This window comes from Homo sapiens, chromosome 5, assembly GCF_000001405.40.
Source record: "Homo sapiens chromosome 5, GRCh38.p14 Primary Assembly".
NCBI lineage: Eukaryota > Metazoa > Chordata > Mammalia > Primates > Hominidae > Homo > Homo sapiens.
Genome location: NC_000005.10, coordinates 84,564,072 through 84,579,187, shown reverse-complemented (window position 1 = coordinate 84,579,187; position 15,116 = coordinate 84,564,072). Strand labels below are relative to the sequence as shown.

The 15,116-nt window shown below is 34.3% G+C and overlaps 1 long non-coding RNA gene across 1 annotated transcript, besides 1 other annotated feature; it reads right to left on the bottom strand.

Annotated features, from left to right (window-relative positions):
* Positions 1 to 4,409: 4,409 nt before the first annotated feature.
* LOC105379059 (uncharacterized) lies at positions 4,410 to 14,902 on the bottom strand. The gene is made up of 3 exons (XR_948528.2): positions 12,378 to 14,902; positions 7,105 to 7,269; positions 4,410 to 6,902 (listed from the first exon to the last, which is right to left on the bottom strand). It is a non-coding gene; the product is annotated as an uncharacterized LOC105379059 (long non-coding RNA).
* Positions 10,455 to 11,011: an enhancer, noted in NCBI's record as "NANOG hESC enhancer chr5:83863995-83864551 (GRCh37/hg19 assembly coordinates)". NCBI's record gives its function as "activates a minimal SCP1, AML or CMV promoter by ChIP-STARR-seq in primed H9 embryonic stem cells {active_cell/tissue: H9 hESC(primed)}" and the evidence as "EXISTENCE:reporter gene assay evidence [ECO:0000049][PMID:30033119]".
* Positions 14,903 to 15,116: the final 214 nt, after the last annotated feature.

Here is a 15,116-nt window from a genome sequence, read left to right as displayed (position 1 = left end):
TCTGGAAATCCTTCTGGAAACTGCCGGTCTGAATGTGCTGCATTTCAATCAGCTCTTTTATTTTCCTGTACTTTTATCTATTATGTACAACACAATAGGTGAAATTCACTTTTGACATTGGATTACAATAAAATATTCATTGTCTATCTCTACCACATATTGAGGACAGGAATTGCTATAAGACTACGAAACGATATGCAAAAAAGTCTATAGAACCCTCAGAGATGGTTTGTTGGGAGAATCTCACTTTGGACTCTAGAAACAGACCGTGAGACAAGGAGTTGAGCACAAGCTGTCTATTTGGGAAGATCAAAGAATGAGTAGGGAAGTGTCAAGGGAAAATAAGAAAAGGAAAACTGCCACTACAGATGTCCTATTAAGCCAGCTGACACAGGGAGTGACTGTGAGAAAGTTCTGGGAAACAGCATCACAGATAGCTCAGAATTATTCCACCTCAGTGGGGAGGAACTGAGGTATTTATCAACTCCAAGTAGTTATTTGTTAAATGGTGCTAATTCCTCTGCACAGTTGGCATCATCCTAGTGGGTTTCTACAGTTTTGGGGAGAAAGAGTCTTCAGAGACAAAGATGCAGTTACTACAGGTGAAAATGGGAAGTCAGCCAGAGCATTTACCTGAGAAAGTTTAAACAAGCTTCGGAGAGTGAGTGAAGTCATGCTGATGGGCAATGAACGCATTTGCTGCAAGGAATAGCAGGAGCTACCGTGGACCAAGTGAAGTTTCAGATTCTATTAGACATCTGATAGGAGATGTCAGTAACATGTCTTGATTTCATGGATGAGTGCTAACAAAGAAGTGAAAGCATTGCCAGCATGACACAGAGTGAGGCAATTTTAACCCAATGGGTAGACAAAAGAAATAATTAAGAAAAGTAAATAGCCCGCTTATGAGGTACCTGAATTTAAATCATAATGTATCATGCTTAACGCTATTTATCAAAGTATTTATTCCACATTTACAAAAAGGTAATATTGAAATATTCCTTTGTGCAGTAATCTCAAAAGGCCAAAATCTGTTGTCTTTATTTAGGATTCAATATTACAGCCATTAGTTCCCTTTCAATTGTCAAACTTTAAAAATTGCAGCCTATATTCTCAAAAGGATTTTGTTAAGGGTTTATTTATTATTTTATTAGAAAGCCAATTGTTTAAAAATGGATTAACTGCAATTAATCAAGTCAAGTTATATATAAATCCGTATCACCAATACTCACAAAAGAAGTCTGAAGCATTATGTGGATGATTCTAATTAAATGTGAATCTTTCTGTATGAGCTCAGAAGCCTTCATCTCCATATAGTTTGCAGTGTATGCAGAGTTATTTCATAAACATCATCAAAGGAAGCATATTGCTTTTAAAGGTCAGTATTATTGCAATACTGCTTTTAAAGGTAAAAATTATCCCTAGTTAATAACCTAATTTGTATTATTAAAATAATGATTTTAAGTGTTAAAATTATTTCTAATGTTGTATGGCAAACAAAAACTTTCCTAGAATTAGATATAAATTTCTAGAACTAGACATTCACAGATACTTAAAACGCAACATGCTTAAATAGAAACCCTATCTACCTGATAGAAAACTTGTTTTTCCTTGTAGATTATTTTATTTATATCATGCCTATTACCCTTCATTCAATCTCCCAAGCAAGAATATAAGGAGTCATGCTTCCTTTCTTTTTATTTTCCCTCACTCAATAAATGACAGAATCATTTATCCAATTACTAGCATCAAAAATCTAGGCGTTCTCTCAATTTTCTCTCATCCAGTTCATCAGTATGCCCTGTCAACTTGATCTCCAAAGTATATCCCAGCATAAAGCCAGAAGGACTGTTTTTTTCCAATGTCACTGCTATAATCCTTGCTAAATAACCATTGTCCTGGATAGAGTATTGTCATATCCTCATAATTTGTCTCACTACTCCCATCTCTCCTCCTACAGTCTATTTTCTATACAATATCAGAGTGGTATTTTTTGTTGTTATTTTGGAGTTTTTTCCCCTTATTTGTAGGCATGGACAGAGTGGCATTTTAAAAAACGGAAATCACTTCACGTTAGACTTCTCTATTACAACTTTCTAATGGCTTTTCATCACACTAGAATAAAATCCCAACATCCTAGCCCAGTTTACAACATTTCATGTAATCTGGCCCCTGACTACCTCTCTGACATTCTTACATCATGCTATACCACTGGACTCCCTCCTGCTGTGCTCAGATACACTGGTCTTTTATTACTTTTTTTTAGCCCATTTAATATAGTTCCAATTTTTCGTAAAGTGTCTGAAAGAATGAGGAGGACTTAACCAGGTACTGCGTAGGAATGTACAAACACAAAAGCATTCAATCAATGTAGTCTCTATTAGGAAAGCTAAGGTGTGTGCTAGGAACCACAAGCAGTTTAATGTTGCTGCAGTATAAATAAGGAATAAGAGACAAGTCCGCAAAGGTAGCAGGAGTACAATAAAATCCCTTTAGGCTTTCCTAAGGACTTTAGACTTTTTATTTTGGTAGGAGACATGATCAAGACTCCTTGTATAATCTGATAAAAGATTGTATATATTTTCCAAGGGTGATACAAATCACTAAGAAGCATTTTAACAACATCCTGCATACAATTTCAGGTGGTGTCCTAACCCATTAAACACTGTTCTTAGGGTTAAAATTTTTGCTAGACAAGAAGACAAATAACCTGATTTAAAAATGGGCAAAGAACCTGAATAAACATTTCTCAAAAGAAATTACACAAATGGCCATCAGATACATTAAAAAATGTTTAGCATCACTAATAATTAGGAAAATGCAAATTAAAGCCAAAATGAGACATTACCTCACATCTACCAGAATGGCTATTATCAGAAAGATGAAAGACATGTGTTGGTCAGAATGTGGAGAAAAGGGAACTCTTGCACACTGTTGGAAGGAATGTAAATTAATACAGCCATTATGGAAAACAGTATGGAGGTTGCTTTAAAAACTAAAAATAGTGTTACCATATGATCTAGCAATCTTACTTCTAGGAACATATCCAGAGGATTTGAAATCAGTATGCTGAAGAGCTATCTGCACTCTTATGTTTTATTGAAGCCCTATTCACAATACCCAAGTTTTGGATTCAATATAAGTGTCCATCACCAAAGAATAGATGAAGACAAGATTTTAAATATACACACAATGGAATATTATTCAGCCTTAAAAAGAATAAAATTTTGCCATTTGTGACAACATGAATGAACTTGGAGGATATTACGCTAAGTGAAATAAGCCAGGCACAGAAACACAGATACCACATGGACTTGCTTATATGTGGAATCTAAAAATATCAAGCACGTAGAAGCAGAGGCCAGAATGGTAGTTACCAGAGCCTGGGGACAGGGAAAAACTGAGAGGTAATAGTCAAAGGGTACAATGTTTCAGATGGGAGGAATAAATAATAAATATTTGAGGTGATGGGTATATACATTTGCTTGATTCAATCATTCCACATTGTATACATATATCACAGCATAACTCTGAATCCTATAAATGTATACAATTAAAAATTATCAATATCCAATTATATACATTTTAAATAACAAAAATAATTCTTAAATTTTTGCAATAGTTCTTTTCAGTTATTGAATAATATTAATTAGTGTGCTATTTTAAATAATATATTATGGTGAACTTTGGCAATAAAATGGATGTGAGAAATACAACATTGAAGTCACTGGGAAGAATGGTTAGAAAATTATTCAGTAAGTCCAGAAATGGTGGATTTCATAAACATGTTACTTATCCCATGATGTCCAAAGGAAATAGTAATTGATTGTATATGGGTAGCAATAAGAAGAGTAGTAATTTTTTTTTTTTTTTTTTTTTGAGACGGAGTCTCGCTCTGTCGCCCAGGCTGGAGTGCAGTGGCACGATCTCAGCTCACTGCAACCTCTGCCTCTGGGGTTCAAGCAATTCTCTGCCTCAACCTCCCGAGTAGCTGGGATTACAGGCGCCCACGACCACGCCTGGCTACTTTTTTGTATTTTTAGTAGAGACAGGTCTTCACCATCTTGGCCAGACTGGTCTTGAACTCCTGACCTTGTGATCCACCTGCCTCGGCCTCCCAAAGTGCTGGGATTACAGGCATGAGCCACTGCGCCCGGCCGAAGAATAGTAAATTTTTATACTCAGGTTTCCGACCTAGGTTCGTCATAAACCCCATGCCATTTTGAGTCCTGTCACTTTTAAGTTCTATTAATGATTTAAATTTTTTACCACCACGAGCATGTCCACAAATGACTAGGAAAGTGTCATAGCTTTGATTTTGTTTTTACAAATATATTTTAGAAAGTTGGAAAATTTGAAAATATAGAATCTGCAAATAATGAGGATCAATTAAATCTTTTTTAAAGATTTTTGGAAAATCAAATTAGACATTTAAATTATAGCTTCAAACACATATGTAATTTAGATTTTTGAAAAAGATGTTCTTGGAAATATTAATTCAAATTGAATCTTCGATTTATAATACTTATATATTTATGTAAAAATATGAATGTAAAATAGTTTAAGCAAATTAACAAAATGATTTTTAGGATAACTTATTGCTATGGTTTTCATGTGTCTTACAGAAAGCTTCTGTTGGAAAATTAATCCCCAACGTAACAGTATTAGGAAGAGGAATCTTATAAGAGGTGTTTAGGTCATGAGGCCCAACCATCATGAATGGAGTAATGCTAATTACAAAAACAGTTTGAAGCTATGAGTTTTCTCTTTCCCTTTCTCTTTGCCCTTCTATTATAGGCTGACAAAGCAAGAAGGCTCTCACCAGATGCCAGACTCTTGATCTTGGACTTTCCAGCCTCCAGAACTGCAAGCCAGTAAGTCTCTGTTCATTATGAATTGCCCATTCTTAGGTGTCCTACTATAGCAGCACAAAATGGACTAAGACACATAAAATTCCCAGTGCTTTAGCAAATAGGCTCCAAGTAAATGAGATTATTGTGGTCCTTACAGTAGTAAAGCCATCGAGCACATAGTAATGCTAAATGGATGAAGAAACAGCTTAGAGAAGAGTACCGTGTTTTAAAACATAGAAATAAAAATTAACCTGCTGAGAAAATTTAAACTCAACAACTTTGCTAAATGACATGCTTAAGTTTTGCTTTGCTTGAAACAATCTGAATTCAGTCTTAAAACTTTCGCATTTTACTTAACTTGAAAAGTTAGAAATTAAAGTATAATGTTTACTTTTACCTGGAACTCTATACTCCTATTTCTCTGAGTAGAAGAGAAGCTGAGGAAGACCTTGCAAAACCACCAAAACACTTTGGAGATATGCCATTGGATAACAACCGTATATTGGTACTGACTTCTGTCTGGGATTTAGTAAATAATGATACCATCATAGCTCATTTTATTACGATATCTCTTCTTTATCTATTACAAATTGCTTACTAAGAAATACGTCATTTGATTTTTGCAATAATTTATGAATTAGGCTAGTATTAGTATCCTCAAATAAACTGTTTAAATTTTTGACTTGACCGAGATAAAATTTGTGCACATTGAGACTTTTACCACTTGTAGATCACGAGATTTGCAATGTGACTGGCATGCAGATGAAAGGCTTATTGTCATAGGAACTATATTTGCACCTTTTGCAAACAGACAAGAGCTATGATTAGCTCTCACTAATGCTCTCTGGGATCACCATATAAAGGTTCCGTGAAGTGGGAAGAATCACAGTATAAGCTAGAGAGAAAGATATATAAAACAGCCTATGACTAAGAAATTAGAAATGAATATAGAGGCATAATGTTCTCTAGAAACAAGGAAAAATTTTTTAAAGAATCAGAGTGAGTGTGTGAGTGGAAAAAACAAACTCAGTTTCACTCACTATCCCTCACAACATGTTTCTGACACCAGCTGTGTGGGATTTCTCCAGAGCAGCAAACAAGCAATCAATTCTGCAGAGGAATTTGCAGCTGGGCATCCTTCAATTCAATCCTGACACAGACAGGTGGATAAAGGCTCAGTCCCAGAAGAGTGTCCCCCACTTCCAGTGCCAATCACAAGCCCCAGGTTCTTTTAACTGTGCTTCTGACAACAAGCTATAAAGTGGGGTCCCCATAACTTCCTCTTCAGATTCAAATAACTTGCTACAGCAGCTAACAGAATTCAAGGAAACACATTTACTTGTTTATTATAAAGGATATTTCAATGGATACAGATGAAGGGATGCGTAGGGTGAGGTATGAGGGAAGGGGTGCAGAGTTTTCATGTTCTCCCCATTCAAGCCACCTTCCAGGGACCTCCATGTGTTCAGTTATCCAGAAACTCATCTAAACTCTATCATTCGGCTTTTATGAAGGCTTCATTTTGTAGGCATGATTGATTAAATTATAAGCCATTGGTGATCAACTTAACTTTCAGCCTTTCTCCCCTCCTGGGAGGTTGGGAGGTGGGCCTAAAAGTCCTAAACCTCTAATCCTACCTTGGTCTTTCTGGTGATCAATCCCCAGCCCTATCCCAAGGCTACCTAGGGACTGCCAGCCATCAGTCGACTCATTTATAAAAGACACTTAGTACTTTGAAGATTTCAAAGATTTTAGGAGTTATGTGCCAGGAAACAGGAACAAAGACCAAATATATATTTCATAATATCACTGTGTGGGTTATAAACTTGTACATGGTAATAAACAATACAATTTAATAAAACCATAAATAAAAGCAGCCTGACCTGTAGATGCAATTTTCTCTGCCTTGGAATTCTAGAACATTACCTATTCTGATGAAATACAGCTCACTTTATTTTAATTGAATGAAACTTCCTAGTTGGAAACATTTCTCTGACAGTTATTCTTTTGAAGCCCCAGTATCATTTTGAGTTAACTTAAAGATGTGTCCTAGAAAGAAGAAACAACAAGACAAGGACGATAAAGAATTAGGAATGTGTAGTAATGAGGAAACAGGCCAAAAAAAAACCCTTACTTTTCAAATGTATTAACAATTATTGGGCTGGGGAAAAAAATATATATATATATATAAATATATATATTACAATTTAGAAAGGAATGTAATTATAGTAAATTCTACCTATTTTATTACCTTGAGGGATGAACAGAGCTTCAACTTTAAAAGATGCTTGTGTCCTTATATTTCCTCTATAAATCTATCCAGAGGTCTTGAGTAACAGAAAAGTTGACAGATCTGGTCTTATTTCTAGCCTTCAGTCAAGAACTAAAGGCGACTTCACTAAATTTAACGTGACACCTAAAGAAGGTTAAACAGACCTTAAGTATCAGTGTGCACATTAGTAAGTAAGTATCAATTGTAGAGGAAGACTTCTATAGGAGCACTAAAGAAAACAACTGAATAAGACAAATAGCTCAGGCTCAGTGGAAACCTATTACACTAAACACTAGCTTCATTTAACTATCAAGTATTATTTGGCTACCATTAGTATATATAAACAAAGATAACTCTGTAACTTATACCATATTAAAGCCCTGTTCTCATATTTTTCATAAGTAGCTATGTAAAACTAAAGCCACTTTTTGGAAGATTTTTACATTTCAGCTTGTTAAAAAGAAGATTTAAGATTTGTACGTAGATGCTGGTAGCAGTTTTGCCATTTACTACCTGTGTAGCATATAGACATTTATTTAAATTCTGTGGCTTTCTGGTTTCTGCCTCTGTACAATGAGGTTGGATTAGAACCATATGGTGTATTCAGTTCTTTCTATTAAAAATACAAAAATAAGTGCACAATTAGATCTTCATTGAGGAAGTAGAAGTGCTCATCATTGTATTAAATTACACACTGATACTATTCAACTGATAAAATTCTTTTTCAAAACATGTGGTAGTCTATTTTGCAAAACATGTGGTAGTCTATTTTCCATTGCTTATAAAGGAATGTCTGGGACTGAGTAATTTTAAGGGAAAGATATTTATTTGGCTCATAGTCTTGTAGGCTATACAAGAAGCATGGTGCCAGTATCTGCTCCGCCTCTGGTAAGGCCAAGGAGAGAAGCGGGGAGGTCACAGACTCTTTTTAACAACTAGATCTTGCCTGAACTCATTACCACAGGGAGGGCATGAAGCTATTCATGAGGGATCCACTCCCATGAACCCAACACTTCCCACCAGGTCCCACCTCCATTAGGGAATCACATTTCAACATGAGATTTGGAGGGGACAAAAATCCAAACTACATCACATGTTAATTGGTGATTTAAAAAAAGCTAATGGATTATTTATTGGCTTATGCACTGGTATTTAAAATATAATACTCTCCAATTACTTTATTTGCCCACTAATAGCATACTTCATTTATCCATGCACTTAACCAATTTCTATGCTCTAGGTAATTGTCCTATGCTTGGACATATGGTGGTGTTCTCTGCTACGTAGAGCCCAGAATCTGGTGGGAGAAGCAAAGAGTAAGTAAAAACAGAAACATGTAGTTACACATAGTAACTAAATAGAAGAAAAGAACAAGGTGTTTTGAGAGGTAATAATAAAAAATCTACTTTAGATTTGAAGATGAGGGAAGAAAATGAGAAAACACTTTCAGGCAGCCTAACTGCAGATATGAATTATTTCCCAAGATGAGAAAATGGTTGTTGTGTTTGAGGAAGTGAAATAATATAATTGTTTAAGAATGATGGAGAAACAGACAGGATGAGTGGCGGACAAAGGTTGCATAATACTGAGTATTATAAGCTTCCTTAAGGAATAAGTATACTACTTAAGGGCAACTGACAGCCATTAAAAGGTTTATAAGCCTGGGAGTAATGGAAAAGGATGTACATTTTACAAAGATGACTGTGAAAGTTGGTAAAGGTTAGATAATGGAGTGGGCAATAGCAAAGGTTGTAGACTATTCTAGAGGTTTAGGAAAGAGACTTTGTGTTGGTGGTATGGAAGAAGATAGAAGATAATATTACCAATACTTAGGAGGTGATTACGCATTTCTAGTGAAATCGATCTCCCCAGTTGTGGGGTTTTGTTTAGTTTTAGATTGGTTTGTTTTTACCAGAATTATTAAGTTTATGGGTCCATGCATGAAAAAAGTGGATAGCAGAAGATATTTGTAAGAGTGTGATTATTATGGATCAAGAAATATAATCAGGGCAAGAAGGGCAATAAAGACAGATGGGAAATGACAAAGGGGCAAAGGGCATTATTTAGCCTGTGAACTGAAAGGATGCAGTAATGTAATTATTTAGACATGGCGCATCACCAGTCCATGCGCAAGTCACCAAATGGTAAGAGGAATGAAGAGAAACTTAAAAATTGAGGCATGAATCCATCACTGGATAAACAAATGTGGCATGGCACTTATATCACAATTATATCATTTCTGAGCTCAGCTGTGTGTCTTATTGATACTTGAACAATTAATATAAATGTATCTTAAGAGGTAAGCTTAAGACTTATTCTTTTAATAACATTGGAATGTGATTTATATTAATTTTACGATAACATCATGTTACTAAAAAGCTGTCAAAATCAGCGTTAATGCAGGATTATCCCAGAATTTTAATAACATCTCTCCAACAACCTTTTAAATTGAACAAGTGGTTAGCAATGTAACTGGCTTGCCATTTAAAAAAAAATTGCCTGATTATTTAAAGGAACTAACTTATGAAGTTTGAAAATATGATGAGATGACATAATGTATGTGAGAAAAACCTGTCATTCAGATAATTAAGTTCCAAAGGGCATAAAGCTTTATTCAATAATCAAAATATGCTGAAGTCTGTAAATTTACATGCACAAAAGTTAGTACATTCAAAATTAATTCTTCTGCCCATGAGCCACCAACTCTTAAATATAAACAATATGTAACAATTATCTTTACCACATTTTTGACTCCACACACATACTGACCTTTCAAATTTAAATATGTGTGTTTAAATATGTATTTATGTACTATGACTTAAAAGAAGTATATAACAGTATATTAGTTGTCAGGTGGTTATTTAAAATTCATCATCGAAAATGTAAAAGAAAAGATTATGCTGAATGTGAGACTATACTTAAATTAGAATTATTTTAAATTCAAGATAAAAAAGATGTTTGACTCTCTCCTATATACTAGATTTCATGCAAATATCAGTGAGTAAAAACATGTATTTGTCTTCAAGAAACAAATCTATTCAAGACTTTTTAAATCTAACTTTTAAAATTTCTTTTATTGATTTAGCATTTTAAAATTTTCAACAATATAATCTTGTGATTTTTTTAAATCACTGGTTGTACTCAACTCCTTGCCAAAGCTATACTATTATCGTCAAAATTATTTGAAATATAAATATTTGATTGAAATATTTTAACTCTATTTTAACAGTGGTGACTATTTTAACAGTAGTGACTCAATTTTAAATGGCACAGTTTTACTCTCACAGCAAGGATACAAAGTATTATATTTAATTGTTCTATTTTAAAGTATATTTAAAATTTTTCAGACATTCTGTTTAAAGGTATATTTAAAATTTTTCAGATGTTCTATTTAAAAGTATATTTAAAATTTTTATGAGCATTTGATAACATTTCAGTAGACAGAAACCCTTATTCAAGTCTCACTCTTTAACTATCTTTCTGTCTATTTTCAGCTATGACAGATACTGCTCCTCTTTCATTATCTAATCCTTCCTTTTTCATGCGAATAGAATACCTTAATTGTTATCTTGAAGACCACAGTCCTCCAAACCCCTTGGAGCTCAACATGCCTACATACTATGGTCTAGACAATGAGTTATAAGGAAAGCAACCTATTAAGCAATGACTTACAGAAACCATTCTCAAAAAACAGCAAGCATACACCAATATTCTTGCTTTTTCTGCCCTTCTACCCTGTTGCTTGAAATAGAGATGCTGTCATTTGTGAACTGAGGTTAAGGTCATACCATGGAACAATAGGGTGCCTGAGTCCCTGACACTGTGGTGCAATCTGTAAGCCCTAAAACTGCATATTTGACTTTTAACTGAGGGAAAGAAGAATGGCTTTGTTTATGCTCCTCTTACATTAGTTTTTTTTTTCCTTTTTTAAAATTTCATTAAAATCTTAACATGGTATTTGGAAAATATGAAAGCAATTAAAAATCATATATATCAAAATAATTTTTAAAATGCTTTTTAAAGATATTTAACTCTTCTAATCCTAAATGAAAGAAAGTCATCCTAAATCAATACTGTTCTCCTTCCCATTTAGAAAAACCCATGAAACTCGATTGAATTTTCTTAGAAGCATACTTAAAGGATCAACAATCAGTCTAAAATTCTAATTCTTTCCTATTAAAATTCCTGTAGATAGATGTTCTGTTAGTTTATAGCCCAACTTTGTTGGAAATAATCTGAAGAAAAAAAATCAAAACCTAGAGAAGGCTCATTCTCTATTTAGAATTTTCTGGATTCAAAAATCTTTCAAAGTATATCACTTACTTTCATCATTTAACTTCATGGCTCTTAATGATATCATATATTTTTTAAAATGGTGCTTCTGTTATTTTCTGCAAAATGTCATTCTGTATAAACTTTACTGTAAAATAGACCCATCACTATTTCTCCTACTCTCCATTATATTGTTTATCCTGTTTTTGTAAATTTCTTTATCTTAAAAAAAATCCATTTGAAAAACTGTAACTTGTGATATCCTATTTTCTAAAACCACTATTTTAAATCTAGCCATTCAGTCTTGTTATTTATCTGGAATTTTGTTTCCCCATTTCCTTAAATGATGTAAACTTTAGGGATTCGTTGATGATTATTCCACTGTCATTCAGTATTACAAAAAGAAAACTGATATTGGCACACATATTCCAAATACAGCTTTTAATAGTACGTGTGTGATAGCTCCCTCTCACTATTTTTAATCTTTTATATTCTAAAGATTTAGAACCAATCCTTAAATAGTAAGAAAGTTAGAACATAATCCAGTACAGAATCAATCATATTCAGGACACCCTGAATGCAAATACTTCATAATCCAGTTTTACAGTTTAATGGACATTGTTTAGCATGGCACCTCTCAGATCTGATGTATCTTGTTGTGCTTAAAATTTGCCTTACACTTTCCTTCAAAGTTACCCTGTTCTCTACTTACCACATGTATAAAATATTCTATTTTTCTCTTAATGTTTTACAAACTGATAATTTTCACTATCAGTAGTGGATCTTTTTATAATTCACCCTATGTCCCCCAAAATATACCAATAATACAATGATTAGATTAGGAAACCTGGCATCTTTTTAAAAGACATGCTTTCTTTTTTTTCTTTTTAATTTTATTATATTTTGCCATCCACAGTTCAGCCTAATATAAACCAATTTAAAGCAAAAAATGCCTTCCCTGCTGTCATCATCTCACTCACCCACATTAGCACTGTTGTTCTGATTAAAGATGGTATATATTCTTTCACAATATTGTCGAGGAACTCTGCAAAATAAACCACAAAGCTGCATTTTTATTTTTAAACAGAGTGACCCAGGAAAAGTTCATTTCTTTTGAAGTTTAGTTATTTTGTCTATTCATTGAGGTTTTCTTGCCTGGTGGCTTTCTTCCTGTAGCATCTAGCATCCACCTCTCTTGATTGAGAACTTTCCAAACAATAGCAGGATGCTCTGACATAAATGCCAAATCACTGTGGATTTATTCATGTTATAACAGACTATCTCAAGCCAAAACTACTTTGGATTTTATGGGCTTGCTGTAAAATGTTGGCCAAATGAACGCTGGACAGGTGGATTGCTGAGTTTTTCAAGCCTGTTTTAAAGAGTTTGATCTCAGTCCTTATCTGCATTGGGCTAGAATACCCTAGGTTCCTTTGAAATTCACAGGATTTTAATTAGGCTTCAGGCCTCTACATTTTAAAAAATAAAGTGCTAAATAAAGTGCTAAATATAATGGTGTCTTGATTATTAGATTAGAAACATTATAAAGCAGGTGAAAATTAAATTTAATATCAAGGCATTAAATGTATGCAATTCTCACTGGAGAGCATAGAAGCAAGAGCCTTCACTGCAAGAAGACTGTTTCATGTGCCTTTAAATTTGAAAATTCCTATAAATTGAATGAGAATGTCAGGAGAATGCATCTGTTTAGCAGCTTGCAGTTTGGGGAATATTCTTTAAGAATACTACATTAGCATCAAAATGGCAATGTGCAGATTGGAAGGATATAATGGTTTACAAAGTCTCACCCTCCTTCACTTAACTATATGAAGGCCACGCCAGAGCAATCTGGGTTGGAAGTTGTTGGATGTCTATGTTCTGATATTACTGCTGCTGATTGTGAAGCAAAAATAAACAAAGAAAAAGAGGAGAAAAAGAGGTTCTCTGTATACCCCCTCCAGCTGAAGGCAACAGCAAACCTGACAAGTCAAAGAGATACCATTGAATTGTCAGTGTTCAAAGCCCACTTAATAAGTAACTGGGATTAGCGCTCTCTTTTAGGAATGCTGCCTTGAGTTTAGGCTCTATTTGTGGAAGAGAAATGAAAAATAACAGAAGCTGCTCAGTAAATGATAAAGAAATAGAAAATAAGAAAAAAGCCTAGAGCTCAAGTCAGGGAAGTCGGCGTAAGCCTAAAGTATAAGTTCCTTTTCATAAGCAGTGAAATGTGTAAAAGCCATTTCTCAATGTCTCTACGTATAAAATGTACCAATGTTATGCCATGCTATACATTTATAATCAAAGGTAAATGCCATGATAACATGGTGGTCTTAAGGCATATTGCACTTTGCATAGGAGAAAAACACCATTAATTTACAACACTGTTTAATAAATTAAATTTGCCTGAAAGATGGGGCATCTACAAATGCATTTGTTCTTTCCCCACATCGGTCCATTTTCTCCACAGGGAGCAAAGATTTGCTAATTGTGTCATGAATGTAATGGAATCTCGAGGGCACCTTCATAAGAATATGACTTGCTTTCCGTCAACTTTTTGACCCTGTTCCCAGTACACTTGGTTTTAATCATAATGTGCTTCCATCCAGAAGACTCTGGGTCATTCCCAACAGAATAGGTAAAAGCACTGTCTTACTACTTGGAGGGAAGGCTACACAGGAACATTTTAAATAATCATAACTCATATTTCAATGGGGATTTACAGTTAACAACGTGCTATCATTAGCATTATCTCATTTGATTATAGGCTGGTTTGCCACTGTGTGTCTTGCATTTAATAAGAACTCAGGAACTATTTGTGGATTGATTAACTATATAATCTTCTTGCTAATGCAAGCAGTGACATGTTCAGTAACTCTGGTTACATTATTACCTCAGCTGTCTGGTCCATCATGATAATTTCCACAGGGAAACTGCTTCTGTGAACAAACACTACAGCCTTATGGAAAAAGTGGGAAGGTTTATCCAGGCAATTAGATAAGGGTGTGACTTTGTATGTTGTGCAAAGACAAAAGCTGTTGCTTTGTTTACCTGGTGTACCAAATTCTATACCACAGCCACTCGGAAGCCATGGCTTGTCCCATTAATATCCCAGTCACAGTGATTTGTCCTTACAACATTTTTCATCATGCGAAGCAACACTTAAGTGTCCTTTGGCATCAGATTGCTTTTGGGTTTTGTTCCATAATGTTTTCATTAAATGTGTATGCTAAAAGAGGAATGAGTCAGGGAATAGAAATTACCATTGGAAAATTGTAGCCAGGCAAGCCTCATAAATAATGCTTTGTTTTTGCTGCTGATGTCAATCCAGGCTTGCCTTTCAATGCCTATCTTTGTTATTCTGAATGCTGTAGTTGCTAGCACTAGAGCTAGCACTCACTCTCCCTTTTTGTAAGAAAACACAGATAGAAAGATTGTTGATGAAACCATTACTGAAGATCAAAAATTTGTTTTGTCAAAGAAAAAAAAATCAGGATATAAATAAATGCAAAATAGAGCAAAGTATGTTTATTTACTTTTTCATAACAAAATAAAACAAAACAAAAATAAGTAGAAGAAAAGGGAAAATAGAATGGTAAACCAAGTGGAATGTTTGTCTCACAAATGCAGTAAATAGGAGGTATTTGTTTTTAAATAGCTATATATATATATATATTTTTTTTTTGAGACAGCATCTCGCTCTATCACCCAGGCTGGAGGGC